Below are 25,805 nucleotides of genomic sequence, written 5' to 3'. Positions count from 1 at the left end.
GAAAAGGAGCAATAAAGGGAAAAAACAAAGTACAGGATTAAGACTGAAAAAAATGTATTATCACAAACACAATGGTAGAGAAAAAATTAACAGGATAACAGAATACATGACAAACATTTGAAATCTTAGGAGAATGGATTATTTTTTAGAAAAAGATGTTATTAAAATTTATCCCCCCAAAAGTGACAACTTAAATTGATCAATTACTATAAAAAATGAATAAACAATTACATATCTCATACTGAAAAAGTCATCACATGGGTTCATAGCAAAATTCTATCTCATCTTTAGGGAAAAACTATTACACACCACCAAAAAGATGAAAAATTTTCTCAGATCATTTTAAGAAGGCTTTTTAGCTTTAATTCCAAAATTCAAATAGATACATTTTTTTAAAAAGAAAGTTGATTCAACAATAAAAAAGAATGAAATAGTAATACATGCTGAAACATGCATGACCTGAAAAACATTATGTCAAGCGAAAGAAGCAAGACGTGGAGACCACATAGTGTAAGATTTATTTACATAAAATGTTCTGTTTCTGTAGACACAGAAAACAGGTTAGTGGTGGCCTGGAACTGGAGGAACAGAAATTGGCTGCACATGGGCACATCTTTTCAAGGTGATGGAAACTGGATTGTGGTGATGGTTGTACAATTATAAATTTACTAAAAGTCATTGAATTGTATATATAAAATGGGTGAATTTTATAGTATGTAAATTGCATTTCAGTAAAGCTTTTGTTTGTTTGTTTGTTTGTTTGAGACAGGGTTTCACTCTGACCCAGGCTGGAGTGCAATGGCATGAACATGGCTTACTGCAGCCTTGATCTCGTGGGCTTAGGTGATCCTCCCACCTCAGCCTCCCAGGTTGTTGGGACTATACATGCGTACCAGCACACCCAGCTAACTTTTGAATTTCTTGTGGAGATGGTGGTTCACCATGTTACCCAGTCTGGTCTTGAACTCCTGGGCTTAAGGGATCTGCCCACCTTAGCCTCCCAAAGTACTGGGATTACAGGCATGAGCCACTGCATTTGGCCTAAAGCTCCTTCTTAAAGTAAATGAATATTAGATAAAGTAAATCAGGAATATTATTTATAAATACACATGCAAAAAGTATAAAATACACATGAAAAAATTCTAAAGTAAATCAAGATTATTTTTAAATACAAATGCAAAAATGTATAAATATACACGAAAAATATCTAAAATATAAACTAGTAGATTTTATGAAGATACATAAAGGTATTGTCATACTATGAAGAAACAGCATTTCTTTCAGGAAAGCAAATGAAAAAAGTCATTAGCCATTCTTTAGAAAGCAAAATGGGACTACCAATATATTAATTAAATTTGCCAACAGTCAATAGCAAATATTATTTCAATCACAAATCAGTAAAATTATTTTACTCTTAAATCAAGGACTAGATATAGATGCCTGTTGTTAGTCAATATTTTCTTGGAGGTTCTAAAAATGAAGTAGAAAAATGAAAAAGTACAAATATAAGGGATAAGTGATAAACCTATCTCTTTTAGATAAAATTATTTGATACCTAGAAAACTCGCTAGAGTATAGTTAAAAAGTTCTCCTTTGATTAAAAAGAATTTGGTAAGGTGGTTTGTGATGTGATAAAATTACAAAAAGAATATCTTTGATATATCAATAAGCATCCAGAAATTAAAGCAGAACAAAAATTACATTCATAATGGCAAAAAATATAAAATCTTAGGAATAAACATAAGAAAGTAACAGAAAATTTTATGATTTAAATTTTTACAAATTTGTATTAAATGATATAAATGAAGATCTGAACAAATAGACACCCAGTGATTGAAAAATTTTATAAAAATGCCAATTCTTCTGAAATCAATGCATAGTTTAATACAATGCCAATTATAATTCTAGTATATATTTTTTAATAACTGGATAAAATTATTCTAAGCACTTACATAAATGAAAGCCAGAGAATTGCCAAGAAAAGCGTGCAAAAGAAAACTAGAAACGGACAATATGACTTATATAAAAGATGATTCAAAATATCCATTCAAATCAGTTTCTCATTGTATTGGCATATTAACAGACACATAGATTAGTGTAACAGATTGGAAAATCCAGAACTATATGTAAAAATATGTGAAAATGTAATACACAATGACATTAATATTTGAACCAGTAAGAAAACATAGATTATTTACAAATGGTACAGGCATAACTGGCTATCCCTCCAGAAGAAAACACAGTTAATCCTTGTTTTACCCAAATCATAAAATAATGCTATAAAGATTAAAGATTGTGCTAAAAAATAATAAGACAATAAACATTATAAAAGTAATATTTAAGACACCTCATATGTTGTTTAGCATTTGCACATAGCAAAATATGTATAAGGACCATACAAAATTTAAGAACCTTTGTATGTAGCAAAATTCCAGAAAAAAAAAGAATAGAAAACAATGATGAATCTGGGAAAATTTTTAATATAAATGATCTGAGTTTATTTTATGTAAAGAACCCTTTCAAACATTCCAGTAGAAAGATTAGCAAAGAAGCAATGCACAAAAAAGCAATTCCAAATGGCCAACAAACATTAAGATACTCAACCTCACCAACTGTCAGTGAATGCAAATTAAAGTAATGAGATATCCCTTTATGCCCATGATACTGGCAGGCATTGAACAGAGCAATAACACCTATTGCTCGTGGGAAAAAGGGATACTTGAATATACTTCTGGCAAAAAATGTGCATTACTATAGCTCTTTTTGAAAACAGTCTGGCAATATCTATTAAATTAAAAATATTCTTTGACCCAGAAACTTATAGGAACATAACCCAGAGGAAAATATGCAGCAGGAGGTAAAGATACATGAACAAGAATATTTATTGCATCATTATTTGTTGTGCCAAAAGAGTGATAGCTTGGTGAATTCCTATTGGTAGTAGAATGAATGGATATTGTGAGTGTTAGAGAACATTATACAATGTAGTACTGTATTGCTTGAGTTGGAAACATTTCCATGATGTATTCAAGAAAAGCAGAATGCAAAAAAAAAAAAAATGGGTGTAAACAGTAGTAAAGCAGAGAGCCAAATCATGAATAAACTCCCATTCACAATTGCTACAAAGAGAATAAAATATCTAGAAATACAGCTAACAAGGGATGTGAAGGACGTCTTCAAGGAGAACTACCAACCACTGTTCAAAGAAATAAGAGACGACATAAACAAATGGAAAAACTTTCCATCCTCATGGATAGGAAGAATCAATATTATGAAAATGGCCATACTGCCCAAAGTAATTAATAGATTCAATGCTATTCCCATCAAACTACCATTGACATTCTTCGCAGAATTAGAAAAAAAATAGAAAAAAACTTCTTTAAATTTCACATGGAACCAAAAAAGAGCCTGTATAGCCAAGACAATCATAAACAAAAAGAACAAAGCTGGAGGCATCATGCTACCTAACTTCAAACTATACTACAAGGCTGTAGTAACCAAAACAGCATAGCATTGGTACCAAAACAGACATATAGACCAATGGGACAGAACAGAGACCTCAGAAATAACACCACACATCTACAACTATCTGGTCTTCAACAAATGTGACAAAAACAAGCAATGAGGGAAAGGATTCCCTATTTAACAAATGGTTCTGGGAAAACTGGCTAGCCTTATGCAGAAAACTGAAACTGGACCCCTTCCTTACACCTTATATAAAAATTAACTCAAGATGGATTAAAGATTTAAGTGTAAAATCCAAAACCATAAAAACCCTAGAAGAAAGCCTAGGCAATACCATTCAACACATATACATGGGCAAAGACCTCATCACAAAAATGTCAAAAGCAATTGCAACAAAAGCCAAAACTGAAAAATGGGATCTAATTAAAGAACTTCTGTAAAGCAAAAGAAACTATCATCAGAGTGAACAGGCAACTTACAGAATGGGAGGAAAATTTTGCAATTTACCCATCTGACAAAGGCCTAATATCCAGAATCTACATGGAACTTAAACAAATTTACAAGAAAAAAAAAACCCCATCAAAAAGTGGGCAAAGGATGTGAACAGACACTTCTCAAAAGAAGACGTTTACACAGCTGACAAACATGAAAAAAAGCTCAACATCACTGATCATTAGAGAAATGCAAATCAAAACCACAATGAGATACCATCTCATGCCAGTCAGAAGAGCAATTATTAAAAAGTCAAGAAACAATAGATGCTGGTAAGGCTGTGGAGAAATAGGAAGCGCTTTACGCTGTTGGTGGGAATGTAAATTACTTCAACCACTGTGGAAGACAGTGTGGAGATTCTTCAAGGATCTAGAACCAGAAATACCATTTGACCCAGCAATCCCATTACTGGGTATATACCCAAAGGAATATAAAGCATTCTTCTATAAAGACACATGCACATGTATGTTATTGCAGCACTGTTCACAATAGTAAAGACATGGAAACAACCCAAATGCTAATCAATAATAGACTGGATAAAGAAAATGTGGTATGTTTACACCATGGAATACTATGCAGCCATAAAAAGCAATGAGATCATGTGCTTTGCAGGGATATGGATGAGGCTGGAGGCTATCATCCTCAGCAAATTAACACAGGAGCAGAAAACCAAACACCGCATGTTCTCCCTCATAAGTGAGAGTTGAACAATGAGAACACATGGACACAGGGAGGGGAACAACACACACTGGGGCCTGTTTGTGGGGTGGGAAGCAAGGAGAAGGAAACTGGATGATGGGTTAATAGGTGCAGCAAACCACTCTGGCACACATATACCTTTGTAACAAACCTACATGTTCTGCACATGTATTCCAGAAATTAAAGTAAAAAATCACAAACAAGCGTGTAATATTATCTCATTTATTAAATGAAATACACACACACATGCACATACATGCATATATATGTACATATATATGTTTTCATATATCCATTATCTATCTGTATCTGAAGAAAAATATGAGATTATACATGCTGGCATGTTAAAATGTATCTCCCGTGCATAGCAACGGAGGATGATCCAGGTAAAGGGGTATGCAAAGGGGAATGAAGGAATCACAGCAAAACATGGGGAAAATAAACTAAAATCCAGCATGTGTGATTTGACCTCATCTGTGACAGACAGACTCTAACATGGCCCCACATTACTGCTTTTTTCTAGTATTCATACCTTGTATAATCTCTTCCTCTTGAATGTGGGTAGGCCTGTGATGTATTTCTAACCAATAGAATGTAGCAGAGTTGATGGGATGTCACTTTCACAATTACGTTACTTCTAACTTGTAGCTTCCATCTTGCTAAAAGACTCTTTATTGACTTTTTCCTTTGTTGGCTTCAATGACATAAGCTGCCATGTAAAAAGGTCCACGTGGCAAGAAACTGAGGGCAGCTTCCAACAGAGAGCAAGGAACTGAATCCTACCAACAACAACAGGAGCTTGGAAGTCAATCTGTCCTCAGTTGAACCTTCAAATGAGACCCCAGCCTGGCTAACACCTTGATTGCAGGCTTGCAGAGGATATAGCTTAGCTAAGCTGTGCCTGAACTCTTGACCCACAGAAAATATAAGATAAGAAATATTGTTCTAAGCTGCTAAATTTGTGGTATATGTGTATGCCACACTAGATAGCTAGTATATCATTTAGCCATTTATATAAAATCATATATGTGTTAGAAAAATTAAGCACAGCTACTATTTATTGAAAACCAACAACCCTCCAAAAACTATTTATATCAAAGCCTGATGAAAAACCTCTGTGAAATAATATCACTTCCATCTCACAAGAGAGGAACCTGAGACTTGGAAGTTAACTTACAGGAGGTCAGGTAGCTGGTGTTTGGCCAAGTGGAGGTTAGAACCCTGGATGTCCAACTCAGAAGTCCCTTTGTTTTGTGTATGTATGTAAGTGCTTTTCACTCATCCCATTGGCAGTCCAAACAGGCAAAATATCTAGATTGTCCATGGTCCATTTCTCTGAAAAACTGCTACAAGCCCTCTAAGCTTCTAAGCCCTAAAGACTAAAGATGCTTGCTGTACAGGACAGGTGGTCCCCGATGCATGCCTAAGCAGCCTTTTGGCTTATGTATACTTAAAATGTTACCTAAAACCAACAGGGCAGCTCAGGGGGTGGCACTGAGCTCTGCACTTCAGAGCATAAAGAACAGTATTTCCACATGCCTGAAAGCCAAAAGACAGAAGCAACAAAATGTGTGAGACAGAGCAAGACATGTAGACAGAATGTCAGTAGTTGCAGAAAGAAGCTTTAACTTAGTGTTTTCTAAGAGGATCCAGTGAAGATGTTAAATGAGTGTTTATAGAAAGCCATATAAAAGAATCAATGGTCAACTAGTTTGCAAAACGCTGAGTTGAAATTAAACAAATGTCTCTTATTGCAAGTTTTCCCAGAAAATTTAATATGCTAATATACATTGAGCATTAACATTAATTTAAATATATTTAAATTCAGAAAATTTGGTTTTGTACAACCAATTTCGTACAATATTGCATAACCAATATTAATGTACAAAATGGTTGAACATTTTGTATATGAATACTGCATTTTCAAAAAATGAAAAGTGGAAAATGCTTTTGTATTCTTTCTGCCTGCTTCAATACATGTTCCCCTGTCTCTCTCAAGCTGATTTGACGTTGCGCTTTCTCTCTCCTCCTCCTAAACTTGTGTCATTTGAAAGCAGTGAACTACTCTGGGAACAGAAATTGTGATAACCATTTTAGAATTTTCTCTAAATATTGCCTAAAAGATCCAAAATATATATTGGAATTAGACAAATAATTTTTCAGAAACAAAATCTAGTGTATCTGTATTCTTCAAAAACTAAAGACATCAATTCTAGGCATTATCTCCAAAGACTAAACACTAAAGAGATATTAGTTCTAGAGGAGACCTAGAGAAGCGTAAGGAACTAAGTCAAGGTTTTGATATTTATTAGCAACAATATTGATAATATTGCTTTATATATGTGCACTTTGAATATTACATTCATAACCCTAACCTCATGTAATTACCACAATGATTCACTGGGATTTATCTATTATTAGTTCCAATTTTAGAGATTTTGTTTTAAAAAAGAAGAAACCATAAGAGATTATATGCTCAAGGTTATAATTCTATCAAATGAGATAATTAAAATTGAAAATAGATTTTATTTTTGGTAAAGTTTGTAAGGAAAATGTTTTACATTCTGGGTGACTTTCACAGATCAATTTAACAATTCGTTAATTCACCCTTCAGCTATATCCAGTCGACCATTCAAATTGACCACAGAAGTTTTGTTCTATTTTTTTAACATCTTTTTTTTTTAACCTTGAAATTTGATTTAGTTCTTAAAATTAATGGCTTGTTTTGGCTTTGTTTTTCCCCTTCCTTTCCCTGTTTTATAAAATTAATTTGAATGTTTTAATCATGCCTATTTAAAAGCCCTTTTATGTTGTTCTTTCCTCTTAGTTTTGGAATGCACATTCTCATCTCTTTCTCTGTGACTCTCCCTCATGGTAGTTGATTAACTCATGGCTATGAAATTTTGCAATGTAAATGCAATTCTACCTTCACGTGTTTCTGTGGCATTCTCACATCTCTTGGGTGGGAGGTTAGGGAGAATAGAAAGGAACTCATGGATTTTCAAATCCTAGGCTAAGTTTTGTACCATTTTGTCTGCTTATAGATGATATCTGCTTAGGTATGATAAGAGGATCCTGTGAAGATGTTAAATGAGTGTTTTATAGAAAGCCAAATAAAAGAATCAATGGTCAACTAGTTTGCAAAATCCTGAGTTGAAATTAAACAAATGTCTCTTATTGCAAGTATACATTTGGGAAGTATAAATTTGGATTTCAAAAACACATATGATGTAACCCTCAACTCTTTGTTGTTTGCAGGTAATTCCTTTTACACACATAGCTCCCGTAAGACGTTAAATTTCTTTACCTCTTACCTATGCACCTGAGAAGTTTTGTTTTTGGGTTTTTTTTTAAAGTCATGTTTCAGGTATGGAATAATCTTTTGTAAAAGCCAGCTTAGTGCTACCTAGTAGTTCCAGCTCCCTTTATTCAGGAATCTGTGGTTTTTATCCCCCCAAATTAGCAGGAAATTCATCAGGAGCCTCACTTTCAGCTGTTGCTCATTGCCCCACCTCTCTGTTTCCTCTTGGTTTCTTTCAGTATGTACTTGAGAGTTTTCCTTTCTTGATTACTGGTTCAGCTGTTTCTGTTTATTGATTATGTCTGTCTATCTATCTATCATCTGTTCATCCATCCATCCATCCATCCATCCATCCATCCATCCATCCATCCATCCGTCTATCTACTCATTAAGTTAGTTAGTCAATTGTTTATGGTTTAAACCAGGAAAGGAAGTTTCTTCTTAGCCATATTAAATTGGTATCTCTCCCCTGTGTCTTAAATCACATCACTTCTCAATCTTTCACTTTGCAATCTGTAAAATAATTGATATTATGGAAACAGTAATTATAGCTTGTTCATAAAATCAAAGAAGACTGGATTTAGAAAGCAGATTATGAAATTGAAAGAAGCAGTTTAAAAATAAATGAAAGGAAATATTATATTACTACTTTCCACAACAGATAGCAAACTTACAAAAGTGCTTCTCTAAGTGGTATTTTAGTTCAGTTAATGATGTGTTAGGCATCTTAGGAGGTAATTCATGTGAAGGACTGTCTTTATTAAATCACAGATGTACTCTGAGCAATATTCTGTGTTGGGCAGTGAGGATGCTGTGGTTAACAGCTAGGTAGGGTTGATGTCATGTGAAAAATGCAGTGTAGTGAGAGTCAGTAGCGTGAAAATCTCAGGGGACAAGGAATGCATAGCAGGCCAGAGTAGAAGTCTCAGAACAAATAATTTTTAAGCCAAAATTTGAAAGATGAAAAGGAGATGGTGATTTCGGTTTTGGTCACATCAAGCTTAGTGAAATCCTTTCAAGTGTGGATACCCAGTAGTCAGTTGAATAAACATGTCTGGAGCTTAAGTGACAATTCCGGATTGCAGATATTGATTTGGTCCTCCAGTTGAATGGTAATGTATTCGTCTATCATGTTTAATTTTAATTCCGTTTATATGCTATCCATGAATAATGTTTCAAAATCCAAAATATACTGAAGTCTGCACAATAAAAAGTGAGTCTTCCTTCAACCTCTGTCACCCAAATATCCAAGTACCCTCCCAAATACAGCCATTGCTACCAGTTTCTAGTGCAACTTCCCAGAGAGTAGTATATCCATGTTCATATTTCACACATATCATATCATATTATTCAAACCTTTCTGCATGTTGCATTTGGACTTAGCATTATATTCTGATGATAATTTTATATCAGTCCATATGGAGCTTCCTTATCTGTTTTTATTTTTGGACAATTATATATTATTCTATTATGTGTATCAATTAGTCCCACAGTTGTAGATGTTGTTTCTCATCTTAAATGATATTTTTAAAATGTAAATCTCAGCTATATATCTTCCTAATTAAAAGTCCTAAGTAGGCAGGGCGCGGTGGCTCACGCCTGTAATCCCAGCACTTTGGGAGGCCGAGGCGGGCGGATCACGAGGTCAGGAGATCGAGATCATCCTGGCCAACATGGTGAAACCCCATCTCTACTAAAAATACAAAAAATTAGCCGGGCGTGGGGACGGGCACCTGTATTCCCAGCTACTTGGGAGGCTGTGGTAGGAGAATGGCGTGAACCCAGGAGGCGGAGCCGAGATCGCGCCACTGCACTCCAGCCTGGGCAACAGAGTGAGACTCTGCCTCAAAAAAAAAAAAAAAAAAAAAAAAAAAAGTCCTAAGTAGCTTCTCGTATGATATTCAGAATAAAATACAAACTTTTCACCCTAGCTCACAAAGCCATTGTTATCTGGTGTCTGCCTTCTCCCCTGACTGTATCCTATACTCCTCTTTTGCTAGCTCACAATGGTCTAACCAAGTTAGCTTCTTTCTCTTTCCTTGCTATATCAAGATCTGCTTGCTTTACAGGTTTTGCAACTCTATACTCTTCCTGGCATGCTGTTCTCCCCAACTTTTATGTGACCAACTTCTTCAGATTTTATGACTAGTTAATGTAAAGTAGCCACCCAGTCACATTCTATAAATTGTCACCCTATGTGAATTGTCTACATAGCATTGTAAGTCAAAAATGAACATGAACTATGAACCTCGAGTGTGGCAGCCATGGGAACAAATCTCTCAGATCTCTAACTGCAGGGAGTTGGAGTGGTGGGTGGGGGATCCAGCTGGTGTGCTCTAATATCTATGGCTTCATTTATACCAAGCCCACACTTCCCTTGGGCTGCTCCAGACAATGACTGATAATGGCAGGAATAGTAAGGCAGGCCTATTCTTGGGAGATATGGGGCTCTGTTGATAGGGAACTTTCATTTGAGGACTCTTAAATGGCCTTAAACTTTTCTTGGAATTGTACTACAATTTAGGATACTTCCACTCAACCTTTCTTCCTTCTTTTCTTCTCTTCCTCTTTTCCTTACTCAGGGATGAATTCATGGATGTGTGTCCCATGACTCTCTCCTCAATTTCATTCATAGACCATCCCATAATAGATTTTTTATTTGCATGTTTAATATCGTATTGGCTTCTGCTTCTTGGAGGATCAGGACTAAAACATCAACAAACATTAACATATCAATATTGATTGAGAAAGTGAATCTCACAAAAGAGATAGAATAGGCATGCTCAGAGCAGTAAAAAGAAATAAAATCTTGCATCATTAGAAGGAACAAAAGAATATCTCAATAGGTAAGTAGCTATGAAAAGTATACATTGCTCTTGTAAAATAAACACACTTAAGACTTCAAGCATCAGGCTTTTCTAAGCATGAGTCATCAGTGATCTTGTTGAAGACATTATCATTGGAAATGTGAGGGTGAGGACTAAAATATAATTGTTTAAGGAGTGAGTGTAAGGCGAAGAAATGGTAGGCAAAAAGTATAGACAATTCTTTTAATACAGTTATATAAAGGAGAGGAGAAAAGTAAAGTGGCAATATGAGAAGGAGGAGATGGATATCAAAAGGTTTTTGGGTGTTTTTGTTTTTGTTGTAGGATAGAAGAGATTGCAGCATGTGAGAAAAATCTAGTAATGGTTGATAAATTGAAGACAGGAGAAAGGATAACTAAAGGAATAAAATTCTATAGGTTATTGGAGTTGACAGGATCCAGAATACAGCTGAATTTATTGGCTTTAGCTCTTCTCTTTGTCAGAGAAATAAAGGAGGAAAAGTAAATGTTGGTACTAGAGTTGAGTTGAGAAGTTAAATTATGTCTTCCAATGGAATATTTTTTTCTCTTTCTCCATGAAATAAAACCCAAAGCTATCTGTTGAGTGAGAGGGAGAAGAAAATGGGAGTCTTGAGGAAAATGGGATGTTTCAAAATTATTTTATAGGAAATGGAAGAGCAAATTGACACATTCCAGCTGTTACTGGGGACTATACATTTATAAATGCCTATCTGTTTAATTATGGAATTGTATCCAGCAGTATACAGCTGCCCATGTGCAAAAGTGAACACATAAACCAGCTATGTTCATTCAGTTATGGGCTTTGGCCAGACTTCAGTGATGGAAAGGCGCTAACTAACACAAAATCTTAGGGAACTGGTAAAAATGGGGAAGCGTCAGACCTTGAACTATTAGCAAAATAAGAAGCAGAGTGAAGAAACAAAGAGGCTTACATAATAAGAAAAAATCAAATAACTGGAGACCCAATAAATTACAAACAGAAAATGTTTTAGAAATAATTGGAAGAACCTGAATGAAAGATGACTGAACAAATTTAAGTGTCTGAATTTAATTATCAAGAAATGGCAGCACTTTAAGGGATTGAGAATGTCTAAGATGTGCACATGAGGAATGGTAACTTGCAGGATATGGAAAAGAAATACACAGGAGATGAAGAGGGCAAGGAATTGAGACATCAGGGAATTGAATGGGCCACCCAAATGGACATTTAAATAATCCAAGATAATGACATGAGTATAAGGTGAAATAATAAAAGATGAGTCAATGTCTTACAAAAATAAAGAGGATGATACTGATGAGGAGGCATGAAGGTGACCCAGCCAAATAACATGAACCTAGAAGCAAAAAACAAATAAAAATTTATCAGAAGAGGAAAAAGATGCCTGTATAGACATAAAATATATAGAAGATGCTTACAAACGTTTGGGACTCGTGACCCAAAGTCTTCAGGCAGAATATGCTCTGCTTCAGATTCTAGAGAGTATTGGATGGCCTGGGCCCTGGTCTTTGCCATATGTCTATGATGACCATGTTTTCAGAATTAAAAACTGAAACTTATAATGTGGCAATTATAGATGTACTTATAAAACGTTGTGACAGAACATTGAAAGTGGGCCTGGCAAAGAAAATGAGGAGCATACGGTATCCATAATTAGGGTATGGCTTACAGTTCAATGTGACAAAAAATGGGATGTAGAAACAGGGTCTACCAAACATTCGTCTCTCTGCTTCAGTTTTCTCTTCCGAGGCATGATTCTTTGATTGCCTAGCCCAAGCTAGAATAGGCACAAAGAAAAACAAGAAACCCAGTAAAAAATTCTTTAGATTTCTGAGTTATGATTTTTTTAATTAAACTTTCTAGCAAATGAGGAACATGCACTTGAATATAGATGTGCTCAAGTGTTTTTTGTTGTTTTTGTTTCTTTCTGTCATCCATTCAGCAACACCTTTTGCCACCTACTATATACCAGGCATTGAATTATATCTGAGAGTCAGTGATGAATACACATGGTTCCTTTTCCCATAGGGCTCACACTAAAAGAAAGACAAATGGTAAAAAAAAAAAAAAAAAAAAGTAAAACTATAATACAGTGCAATAATTCCCCAGTAAAGTTGTAAACATTGCCTTAAAATCAAGAAAACAGAATGGTTTATTTTGCCTTAAATTACGATTAAGCATAATAATAGCTACCATTTATTGAGCTTCCTACCCTCTGCCGGGTGCTGTCTGTACACTTCACTTTTATTTCCACGACCTTATTAATCTTAACATCAGTACAAGGTGAATATTTTCATTATTATAGTGTATGAATATATTAAGTAGTATAAAGGATAAATAAGTTATCCAAAGATAAGTCACAAAATTGGAATGTGAACTCCTGACTATCTGACCCAGAAGACTCATGAGTTATTTTAATGCCTCAAATGCATGATATTTAAGTTTTAGTCTTATGCTAAATCTTTAACCAGACTTGAGATTCAAAATGACATGATTGCTGATATACTTCTGAGACCTTTAAAGACTACCTAGGTATCTGCAATTTTTTGTTGTTCCCCTAATGCTTTTCTAAGTGACAGCACTAGCTCTGAAGTTTTTATCTCCTGAGGCCATGGCAGACATTGCTAATAAATCATGGCACTAGTCAAATGAGCAGAATGGGTCCCAGTGCTCTTTCATTTGGTACCTCAGGTAGACATGATTAATTGATCAACATCAACAGTAAAAATAAACATATTTGCTTGCCATCTCTGTTCTAAAAGGTAAACCACCGTGGTTAATACAAATTTAGGAGGAAGACACAGTATTAAAGCAAGGTAAGATAGAGAAGGCCCATGAAAAATAGCTAGATGAAGATTTAGCACATCGTAGGGACTTAAGAGTTAAGTAGGCTCTTGATAAATATATGCTGAATGCAACTAAAGAGAGATCTTTTCCTTTCCTTTCTTTTGTCCACATTATTTAATTTGTTGAATTTTTATGATATATCAGGAGGGCTTATAAATAGCCCCTCTACTTCTTTTTTTGAGAATATGAAGACTTCAACATGACTTGCTCTAGGATGACCAAAGGAAGGGGATCTGAATGAGCCATCTCAGAGGCTCCAAGGTGCCTGCTTCAGAACACTGATGGATAGCTACATGTGGGCTGAAGGTAATGAGGTTGGTCAGCTGGAGGGCTTTCACCAGGCCCTTAATCTGTCACCCCCTTGACACCTGCCTTCCCCTGAAAAGTGACAAATGATACATTGAGCCGTGGTGGTAATGTAAACCTCAGTGTATTCTAGAATCCCACATCTACTGTTCTTATGACAAGCACGTCTTTTATGTATTATTTATTTTTCTCTGGAAGCTCTGTCTAGACATAGTCTTAGTTTCCAGGGATATCCCATATCTTTAATGCACTCTTCCAGGCTTGATGAACAAAGTACAGGGTAGGCAATGGGTTTTTCTGGAGCACTGAGTTAGGATTTGTTCAGAATCTGAACTATGATTCACTCTGAATATACACCCCTTTTGCATATACCAGGACATAAGGATCTTAACAATCCCTGACTCTACGCAGTCGGTGTGAATTCGTTTCACTAAGCAAGTAATACTTAAAGATGACATTTCTATGTCCTTTCCTCAACTGATATTAAATGGATGGAATTCTATCAATATATAAAATATATTCTATTTCTAAATATGTAAAATGGCACCTTTCTCCAGCCCCCTGCTTTCCTTATCACCCTTACCTGGGCTTTTTCTTTCCTTTTCCTTCATAATACTAATAATTTCTGACTTATTATTTATTGATTTGATCTTTGTTTATTGTTTCTCTTTTCACACTAGCATGTAATAGAACAACAATTTTGTCCTTTTTGTTACAGTAACCTTGGAACATTGTACTTCCTTATTCATATTGGTTGAAGTCTGAATGAACTACTAGTACCAAAATAATTCCTTAAAGCAGAGAAGTTTTCATGGTGAAGTGGTAAGAATAGTGAATCTGGAGTCAGCCTGTTTAAGTAATTTTTCTTCTGGGCTTACCACTTTTATGTGTGTGCATGTGTGTGCATGCATGAGTGTGTGTGTAAGTGACTTGGTCTAAGACTCCGGTTTCATGTCTGAAAGCAAAGAACATAATTCTTGTTCTACCCTGTGTCACAGGATTTCCATGAGGATCATATGTTGTGAAAACATCTTGAGAACCCTAAAATGCTATACAAGCATCAATTGTAGTCACACTATAATGTGATCATAAACTCAGGAATAAATAGCTGGTGGTGTCTGGGTAGCACCATAAATGTGCAGAGCTTCCAGGAGGAAGACAATGAGGCCTCGGTGGCTGAGGGGTCCTTCGGAAGTGTTTTCTTGTCTAGTCTCCTGCTTTTAGCCTCCCTCCAACTCCTTCCCTCTATCTTTTCATTCTTCCTTTCCCTCTTCCCTTCTCACTAGTATGCATACTTTAATTTGTTCAAACAACAACGTAACATTCTGCTTAAATTAAATTAATTAACAGTTTATGCCAATTACAGATTTATACTGTTAAGGTGAGTTAGGAGTTGAATTTTTTTTTTAAGTTCATTCAATGAAGATGAAAAACACCTTTCTATTTTGCTGTACTGAACCAGTCTATTTCTCTTTTTTTTTTTTTTTTTTTTGAGATGGAGTCTCTGTCGTCCAGGCTGGAGTGCAGTGGCACGATCTTGGCTCACTGCAAGCTCTGCTTCCCGGGTTCACGCCATTCTCCTACCTCAGCCTCCGGAGTAGCTGGGATTATAGGCGCCCACCACCACACCCGGCTAATTTTTTTTTGCATTTTTAGTAGAGACAGGTTTTCACTGTGTTAGCCAGGATGGTCTTGATCTCCTGACCTCGTGATCCGCCCTCCTCGGCCTCCCAAAGTGCTGGGATTACAGGCGTGAGCCACCGCGCCCAGCGTGAACCAGTCTATTTCTAGTCAAAACTTGAGTTTGGCTTAACTGCAAGTAATCACAATTTTAGGTAGAATCATAGTCTTTCTCATGCAACAGAAATGGTGGATGAGCATATTGATGCCTGGACTCAAAGCCTCTCCAGGCTACAACTTTGAATCTACTGGTGTCTCTCTGTTGCCAATAGGAAAAAGGATTAGGAGTGTTCTTAATCCACATAGACAAAGGTTGGACTTGGACACTCTTTGTAGCTGGGGAAAGACTCAGAGCTTTGGAGTCAGACAGAGCTGATGTTGAGTCAAGTTTGGCACTTGTTAGTAATGTATCTTTGAACAAATAAGTAAATCCTAAAAAAACAATGATATTTACCTTAATGGAGTGAGAGTTAATGGTTAAACTAAATGTAAAGTGGGCATGGATTCTATGCCAAGAGCAATGGTCAGCGTTTAGGGTACTGTGAATAACATCACAGAGATAAGGTCCTGCCCTCATGAACTCACTGTCTCTAGATTCTCTTTTTCCCCATTTTTTTTTTTTTTTTTTTTGTCATTTCTGACATGTGGGCTCCAGCACACAACCTCCAGATACATACTGTTTTATTCCCAAGATAATTCAGACTTAATGGGTTATTGTCACTGCCAATAATCCAGTTAATAAATATGAGCAATTTGTTCTAATTCATTTTAATAAGCTTATATAAAGATGGGAGGATGGAGAATAATCTCAGAGGAACTTTCAGTTGACTAGAGCTTCCAAAAGCACAGAATGAAATAAGCTGGTGATATATAAATTGACTTTAGATTGTACACCAACAGTACATTTAGTCTTCCTACATATTTTACTTTATTTACTAGAGAAAAACCATCATAAGCCCATCAAAATCATAACTGAATTTATGTATATCACTACTTAGTAGAAAAAGTGAAATGAATTTAAAATATTAAGTAATTATACAGGTATTACAATTACTTAATATTACAGAGATGGTGAAAAACCTGAAGGTAAAATTTAACTAGATTAGAGGGTGGAATATTTTGGCTAAAATTTACTCTGAACACCTATAAATCATGATATCGGATGAGAACATCACAGAAACATGGCTGAGGCTTGGATGTTCTGAGAGCATTGTTACATAAGAATTTACTGACAGACCTGAGGATGATTGATTCGGAGAAAAGATCATTAAAGGAATATATGAACATTTTATTTAGATATGAAATACTGTTCTGTTGAAGAAGAAGCAAACTTATTCTCATCTGATCCAGAGAAAAGACTAGGATTAATGGTCTACAATTTCAGGAAAGCAACTCTTTTAATCAATATAAGGGTGACCTTTTTAATAATTAGAATCATTTAGAATCAAGTTCTGGTCAGCTTCCTTGAGTTTCTCCTCTTCCTCCTTTCTGAATTCATAGTTTTTCTAAACATTCCAGGTTCCTTTTCAACTGTCTCTTGTGCCAAAGTCACTCATACAAGGTTTCTTTTCCTTTCTATTTCCTCTGCATGGACATTAACGGAAATATTCTATGTAGAGCATAATCACATCTTAAATGCTTAGCCACTGTTAATACTGGATCAATACTTTAAAGGTACAAATGATTTTTATTTGAAGTTAGATTTTCTGCATCTTGAAATAGTCTACAGTCCCTTCACAAAAGCCTGCTTTTTTGTTGTTGTTGTTTGTTTGTTTGTTTTTTGGTTATACTTCAAGTTCTAGGGTACACGTGCACAACATGCAAGTTTGTTACATATGTCTACATGTGCCATGTTGGTGTGCTGCACCCATTAACTCCTCATTTACATTAGGTATTTCTCCTAATGCTATCCCTCCCTCCTCCCCTCACCCCATGACAGGACCTGGTGTGTGATGTTCCCTGCCAATCAACATAATTTTGAACTCCTCTTGTCTGTAGCTATGTAACTAGCTCAGAAAAAAATAAGTCTGAAAATGTGGCCTTGCTTTGCTCACATGACCTTGAGCAGAACATTTCCCCTTTCTGGGTTTCAGTATCCTCATTTTCTACAATTAATCATTTGGACTAGATGATCCCTAGAGTTTCTCCATACTCTAATTTTCCATGATTCTATTAATCAGCATTCCCTCCAGTGGTGTAGGCAAACTCTTAATTATCCAATGAAACTTTGATAGATTCTGTGTAAATAGTTGTAATTCTTTCTTTGTGTTGTATTCATTTAGGCTCTGCCTAAAATAAATAGTCAGCTATCTAATTTAAAATTGTATCCTCAGTCTGCTTAGTATTTATGTGTAGGTCTCATTGAGAGATAACAATTGGGGTCGGGGGAATACTTTATCCACAAATGTGAGCTTTGTTCACAATATTGAACTTAAAAACCAACAGAAAGATCTCTTAAATTTTATTTTAAATCTTTTGGCAAGAACTACAACTGGTTCCATGTCTAGGTGAAAATAATAACATTTTTCTCTTTTAAGAAATTGATAATTTTATGTCTTCCCTAGAAATCCAAATATAGATCAAAGAAGAAAAGTTTTGGTGAAAAGTTGCCTATATATTTTAATAAAATATATACTGGGATATAATTTATATACCATACAATTCACAGATTTAAATATATAATTCAATTTTTTTAGTATATTCCCAAAATTCTGAAACCATCACATTAGTCAATTTTAGGACATTTTTGTCACCCCAAAAAGAAACCCCACACCCATTTGTAGTGAGTTTCCATCCTCTTCTTCCTCCTCCCCCAACTGCCCCAGTCCTAGGCAACCATTAATATACTTTGTTTCTATAGATTTGCCTATTCAAGACATTTTGTATAAATAGAATCAAACAATGTGTCGTCTTTTTTCACACATTGGCTTCTTTGTGTTAATTTATTGGCGTAATTGGCTTCTTTCACTTAGTATACATTTTTAAAGGTTCATGAATGTTGTAGTATTTATCAGGACTTTCTTCCTTTTTATGGCTAAAGAATATTTAATTTCATGGATATACCATATTATGTTTATCCATTCATGGATTTAGGGACCTGTGGGTTGTTTCCATCTTTTGGTTATTATAAATAATGCTGACAGAAACATTTATTTACAAGGTTTTGTATGGATGTATGTCTTAATTTCTCTTGGGTGTATACCTGGGGGTGGAATTGCTGAGTCAAGTGGAAGCTTTATGTTTAACTTTTTGAGGCACTGTCAGTCTCTTCCAGAATGTCTACACAATTTTACATTTCCACCAGCAATTAATGCGGGATCTAACTTCTCCACATACTAACCAACACTAGTTATTATCCATCTCTTTTATTAGAACCATCCTAGTGGGTATGAAGTGGAATCTCATCGTGATTTTGATTTGTATTTCCTTGATGACTGATGATGTTGAGCACATTTTCATGTATTTATTGGTCATTTGTATATTTTCTTTAGAGAAATGTCTGTGGAGACCTTTTGCCCAATTTATTTGAGTTGTTTGTCATTTTAATAATTAATTTGTAGGAGTTCTTTACATATTCTAATGCTAGTTTCTTATCAGATATATGATTTGATTTGAAAATACTGTTTTCCTGTTCTGTGGGTTGTTATTCACTTTCTTAGTAGTGTCCTTTGAAGCAAAAAGTTTTTTCTTTAAGTTTGAAGGAATTGAATTTATCTATTTTTTTTTTCTCTTTTTGCTTGTGCTTTGGTGTCATGTCTAAGAATCCATTGCCAAATTAAAGGTCATGAGAACTTACTTCTGTGCTTTCTTCTAACATTTTATAACTTTAGCTTTTCTATTTAGGTCTTTGATCCATTTTGAGTCCATTTTTGTATACAAAGTGGGGTAAGGATGAAAATTATTATTTTCCATATGCAATCCAGTTGGCTCAGAGCTGTTTATTAAACACACTATTCATTTTTCATTGAATAGCCTTGGCACCATTGTTGAAAATCAATTGACCTTGGATAATATGGGTTTACTTCTGAATTTTCAATTCTATTCCATTGATCCATATGTTTTTCCTTATGCTAGAACCATACTGTGTTGATTACTGTCACTTTGTAGTATATTTTGAAATTAGAAAGTGTGAATCCTCCATTTTTTTTCTTTGTTAAGATTGCTTTGATTAATCTGAGGTCTTGAGTTTCTATATGAATTTGGGGGTCATCTTGTAAATTTCTACATAGAAATGAACTGGAATTGAGATAGAAGTTGTGTACAATATGCAAATTAATTTGGAAATATTACTATTTCAATCATTGTCTTGTAATTTATGAACATGAATGTCTTTCCATTTATTTAGATCTTTTTACTTTTTCTGATTAATGTTTGATTTTGTCAGAGTGTAATTTTTATACTTTAATAAATTTATTACTGTTTAGTTTTTTTATGCTATTACAAATAGAATTATTAATTTTAATTTTAGGATTGTTTATTGTGTATTAACAATTGATTTTGATTCACTGATTTTATATTCTACCATCTTGCCAAACTCTTTTATTAGTTCTGATAGATTTTAGTTGATTCATTGGGTTTTCACATAATTGTTTATGAAAAAATGTATATATATAGATAAATAATGAATGTTATGTGCAAGTAGAGATAATGTTACTTTTTCCTTTCAAATTTAGCTGTCTAGTATTTCATCTTCTTGTTTCATTGCCTGGCTAGAATTTTTACTAAAATGTTAGATAGAAGGGTGAGAGTACATATCTTTTTCTTCTTCCTAATCTTAGAGTGAAAACATTCATTCTTTTACCATTATGCATGATATTATTTATGGATTTTCATAGATATACTTTCTCAGGCTGAGGAAGCTCCCTTCTACTTCATTGAGTGTTTTATTATGAAAGGCTGTTGGATTTGGTCAAATTTCTTTTCTGCATCTATAGAGATAATCATATGTTTTAAAAAATATTTTATTATATTGCTATTGTGTATTATATTAATTAATTTCTGGGTTTTAAACCAATCTTGCATTCTTGGAACACATTGCACTTGTGCATGCTCTATAATCTTTTTTTAATGTTGCTGGATTTGATTTCGTAGTATTTTGTTGAGAATTTTTATGTCTATATTAATAATATATATCAGTCTGTAGCTTTCTTGTAATGTCTTTGCCTGATTTTAGTATCACTGTAATACTGACCTCAGAAATAGTTGGAAACTGTTTCTCCTCTTCTAATATTTTTAAAAAAAGAGTTTGAAGAATTGATATTAATTCTTCTAAAAAATTTAGGTAGAATTCACCAGAGCAACTACCTGAACCAGGGCCTCTCTTTGTGAGTTGTCTTTCTTTCCTTTATTTCCTTTCTTTATTTCCTTTCATTCTTTCCTTTTCTTTCTTTCCTTTCTTTTCTTTCTTTCTTTCTTTTTTTTTTTTTTTAAACAGGGTCTTGCTCTGTTACCCAGACTAAAGTGAAGGGACAGGATCATAGCTCACTGTAGTCTCAAATTCCTGGGCTAAAGGAATTCTCCTGCCTTAGCCTCCTGTGTAGCTGAGACTACAGGTGCCCACACCACCATTCATGCCTAATTTTTATTTTTAGTTCTGTAATACAGGGTTTTAGTATGTTGCCCAGGCAGATCTCAAACTCCTGGCTTCAAGCGATCCTCCTATCTCAGCTTTCCAAAGTGCTGGGATTACAAGTGTGAGCCACCACACCCAGCCTCAGCGTAGTTTTTGATTACACATTCAATCTTTTTACTTTTTATAGGTCTATTCATATTTTCTAATTATTCTTGAACTAATTTGAATAGTTTCTGTCTTTCTAGGATTTGGTCTATTTCATCTAGGTTATCTAATTTGTTGATGTGTAGTTGTTCATAGTATTGTCTTAAATATTTTTTATTTCTATAAGGTTGGTAGTAATGCTCCCTCTATTATTTCTGCTTTTAGTAATCTGAGTCCTTCTCTTTCTCTCTCTGTAAATCTCCTTAAAGATTTACCAATTTAGTTAAACTTTTCAGAGAAGAAACTTAGTTTCATTAATCTTATCCACTCTTCTTTAATTCTCCATTTTATTTATATCCACTCTTATTTTTACTGTTTTCTTTCTTATTTTGGCTTTGAGATATAGTTCATTTTTCTTTTTCTAGTATCTTAGGTAGAAGATGGGGTTATTGATTTGTGATCTTCTTTAATATAGGTGTTTATAGCTATAAATTTCCTTCTGAACACTACTTTTGCTGCATCTCATAATTTTTGGTATGTTGTGTTTCATTCAACTAAAACTATTTCTCATTTCTTTTGTGGTTTATTCTTTTAATCAGTGGTTATGTTAGGAGTGTGTTGTTTAATTTCCACATATTTGTGAGTTTCCCAATTTATTTCTGTCATTTCATCTTAAAGAACTTTTGTAGTTTTTCTTGTAAGGTTGGTCTGTTAAGCAACAAATTCTCTCAGTTTTTGTTGGTCTGGGAATGTCTTATTTTTACTTCATTTATGAAAGATGTCCTCCCAGTAGGTGTATGTTGCTGCACATAAGATTTTTCAGCATTTCTCTGAGGCTCTGTTTATTTTTCTTCATTCTTTTTTCTCTCTGTTCTTCAGGGTGTTTAATATCTATAGATTTATCTTCAAGTTCACTAATTTTTTCCTTCTGGCAATTCAAATATGCTTTTGAGCATCTGTAGTGAATTTATCTTTTTAGTTATTGTATTTTTAATTCCAGAATTTCCATTTCCTTTTTTAATAATTTCTTTTTATTAATATTATTTATGATACACTGTCATCATACCTTCTTTAACATCTTTAATCATGGTTTCCTTTAGTTCTTTGAACATATTTATAATGGCTACTTTGAAGCCTTTGTCTGCTATGTCTGACATCTACTTACTCTGCTTTTGTTACCTGCTTATATTTTCCTGTCATTGGGTCAGAATTTCATGCTTCTTTGCCTGCTTATAATTTTTTGTTAGAAACTGGACATTTTATTTACTTTATTTTTATTTTCTGCCCCAATATGATCTGCAAAAAACAAACAAAAAAAATGGACATTTTGGATAATATAGAAACTTCAGGTCCTTGCTCCCAATCCCCTTTGGGGCTTGTTATTGTTATTTAGTTATTTGTTTAGTGACTGACTGTATTATTTTTGTGAAGTTTGTTTCCTCTGCAGTGAGTTAAATTACAGGTGTTCATATAAAGTTGTATCCAGAATAGATTTTTAGTAAAATTGCAAAAGTGGCGTGCATAGAGCATGCTTCTAAGTATGGAGGCAGAAACAAGAACATCTCAGCATAGACGATTTCTGAAAAAAGAGCCAAGAAACTAGTGAAGTAGCTACTTCTGGGAAGGAGAATAAAGAACTGGTGGGCTATTATGAAGAGAAACTCATCTTTCCTTATATCTTTTTTTTTAGCATATGTTTTGTTTTGCCAGGTATATGCAATTCTTCATAAATATAAAAGGGCAGAACAAGTGAGTTTTTTTATTTTCATTCAAATAAGAATCTTAGCAATCTCTTAATAAATCATGAATATATAATTTAAATAAACATTAAGTGACTTCATTTAGAAATTCTGCTTTGATTAGAGATTAATGGTGATTGAACTTGAATTTATCAAACTTATCTGATAGTTTTCAAAATCAAACCAGTCTTTGTCTACTGTTTTTTCTGGTTAAGTCATTAATGATATTATAAACCTTAGCAAAGGTGTCTGACTTTAGAACTAAATTGTTAACCTAGAGGAAATGCCGATATGTTTTGATTATTTCCTTCTCTGCCCTGTTGGTAGCCTTCAGGGATGGATATTACCTTGCCCTTGTGCTCACTTCCACATCACTGGAGTTTCCCCTTATGTGGGCACTTCTCCTTGCTCAGTTTCAAGATCTTTTGCAGAGTGCATTTATTTCTCAATGATTGCAGGCAACCAAGAAAACTGTGAACTCTTTCTCAAACTTTATTGTCTGAGTTCCCCTCCCCCAGAAGGACTCTGTGCTTCCTCCCTTTAGAGTTTGGCTCTTCTCTGATCAGGTTCACTACAGCAAGATTAACCTGTCATTAAAAAAGATAATTGTACTTCAGGTTTTTCCTGTTTCTTAAATGAATGTTGAACTTAGCTCCAAACCCCCTTGCCAGAAAGCAACTGAAAAGCCCTTGGCAACAGAAAGCTGATTATTTGCAAAAGTGGGACTCCTAATTGGAAAATGTGATGGAATGAAAATAGTGAGTCCCCAGTAATCTCCTTCTAAAATGATAATGTGTTCCACTTAATGAATATTAATGTGTCATATTCATAAGCCTGGAGAATTTGAACCTGTGACATAAGAATTTTTTTTTACTTCAGAACCAACATGCTCACTCATTCACACTTCTCCTATTCACAGGGACAAGCCTGCCATTCTTGATGGGACACCCCTAGCAGGCGGCAATTAGCATGTATGCAGACCTCTAATTGGTTGTGAATTTTTTTATGATTTTTTTTTTCTGTTCCTTGGAGTAATTATGCATGCTTTTATACTCTTTATTCTGCTCTGTTATAAATTCCTAACAGCAAATGACCATGTATTTCACCTCTTCTTTAATTTCACTGCTCATAGGGAATGTGCAATGTATGCAACTTGACCATAATTTAGAAGGACTGATTGTATTATTAAGAAACACAAAGAATCTGTATATCTAAATTTGCGTGTGTGTGCCAAGACTTTTACCTGAGGCTCCACACTCATTGCAATAATGTAGTTATTACTTAAAACATACCTAGAACTTTTCTTTGAGATCAGGTCACGTTTCCCAGGATAAAGGGAAGTGAAAGCCTATACTATGATTAGCTTGGTGGTGCCAAATGTGATTCACTTATTTAAGACACACTTTTTGCATAGTAATCAGGACTAGACCTCACAAGGGCCCTGGCATAATTAAAGCCCATCCTTGAGACAATTCCACTTTGGAAAACTTGGGGCTTTTTAAAAGAAATTTCACTAACAGTGGAAGACTTGTACACAGAATTCATTTTTCAATCAATTGAGCATATATGAAGGAATACTTCTTAGATAGAAAAATATGTGCCAACAAATAAATAAATTTGTAGTAGAGAAAAATTAGATTTTGCCCTGCCATTTTTTAAGGAGAATGGAATTGGATAGTGTGGGAATCCTTTGTTTTGTTTTGAGCTGAAAGCCAACCTTTGTGTAATGACTTATTTTCCTCAGAGCTGAAATGTTGGGTCTGTGAAAGTAATGAGAAGCACAGTGGAAATAAGTTTCTGAAGGATGGAAGAGGCTGGAGGCTGGCTAGTGGGAGAAGGTTCCCAGACACGTGAGAGACCCAGCAACAGGTAAGAGAATAAATTGGTAAAGAAGAGACACATTGGAGGGGTGATTTATTTAAAAGTAAAATGCTGTCTGTTAGGTATTATAAAAAAAAAATCTATCCTATGTCCCTTATGAAATCCTCAGTGAAAACTCAGTATCATTTTATTATTATTATTATTATTATTATTATTATTATTATTATACTTTAAGTTTTAGGGTACATGTGCACAACGTGCAGGTTTGTTACATATGTATGCATGTGCCATGTTGGTGTGCGTGCTAAAGGCTTTTCTGAGGGTTGGGTGTGAGGACCACAAGGGATACTTCCCAGGAGAAAGTTATGTTGCATTTCTGTGCTGGGCCCAAGGTAGTGATCACCAGGTGGGGATTGTATACCTTCAGTTCTCCCTTCAATTTCCAGCACTCTCCCCTGGAGCCCCTCACAGCCTGTCATCAGCCAAGTGAATTACCTCCTTCCCTATCAGTACTTACACATTAACTTTGGGGAAATCTCAGTGCAGGAATCTCTAGCCAAATCTTAAGAAACACCATGGCTGGCAAAACTGCAACTGACAAAATAAATTTCATATCAAATATAGGATTGGGGGAAAACAATGAAAGTGGCATTGAATGTATGAGTGTCAAAAATAAATAAAAATTGGCATTGAACGCGTGAGTGTCAAAAATAAATAAAAATTGTACAAAGCCTCCATTCCCTCAAACAAAGCAAATTTCTCATCTTTCTTAATCTGCTCAGGTAAGTAAATGTGTACCTGCATCACAGTGTTTAGCTGTTCAGGTGATGTTGCTGCTGGACATTAATAAGTTCACATATCTGAAATTAAATATCTTTTTAACTTGAATTGCC

The 25,805-nt window shown here is 34.7% G+C and overlaps 1 long non-coding RNA gene across 1 annotated transcript in view; it reads left to right on the top strand.

The window, feature by feature from the left end:
- The window catches only part of LOC102724465 (uncharacterized), a 379,687-nt gene that overhangs the window by 245,787 nt on the left and 108,095 nt on the right, over positions 1–25,805 (top strand). Inside the window, exon 3 of the long non-coding RNA NR_187944.1 lies at positions 24,836–24,960. This is a non-coding gene — a long non-coding RNA (uncharacterized LOC102724465). The remainder of the gene's footprint in view (positions 1–24,835; positions 24,961–25,805) is intronic.

Source organism: Homo sapiens, chromosome 15 (genome assembly GCF_000001405.40).
Source record: "Homo sapiens chromosome 15, GRCh38.p14 Primary Assembly".
NCBI lineage: Eukaryota > Metazoa > Chordata > Mammalia > Primates > Hominidae > Homo > Homo sapiens.
The sequence above is the reverse complement of the archived record's forward strand: the minus strand, read 5'-3'. Positions and strand labels throughout refer to the sequence as shown.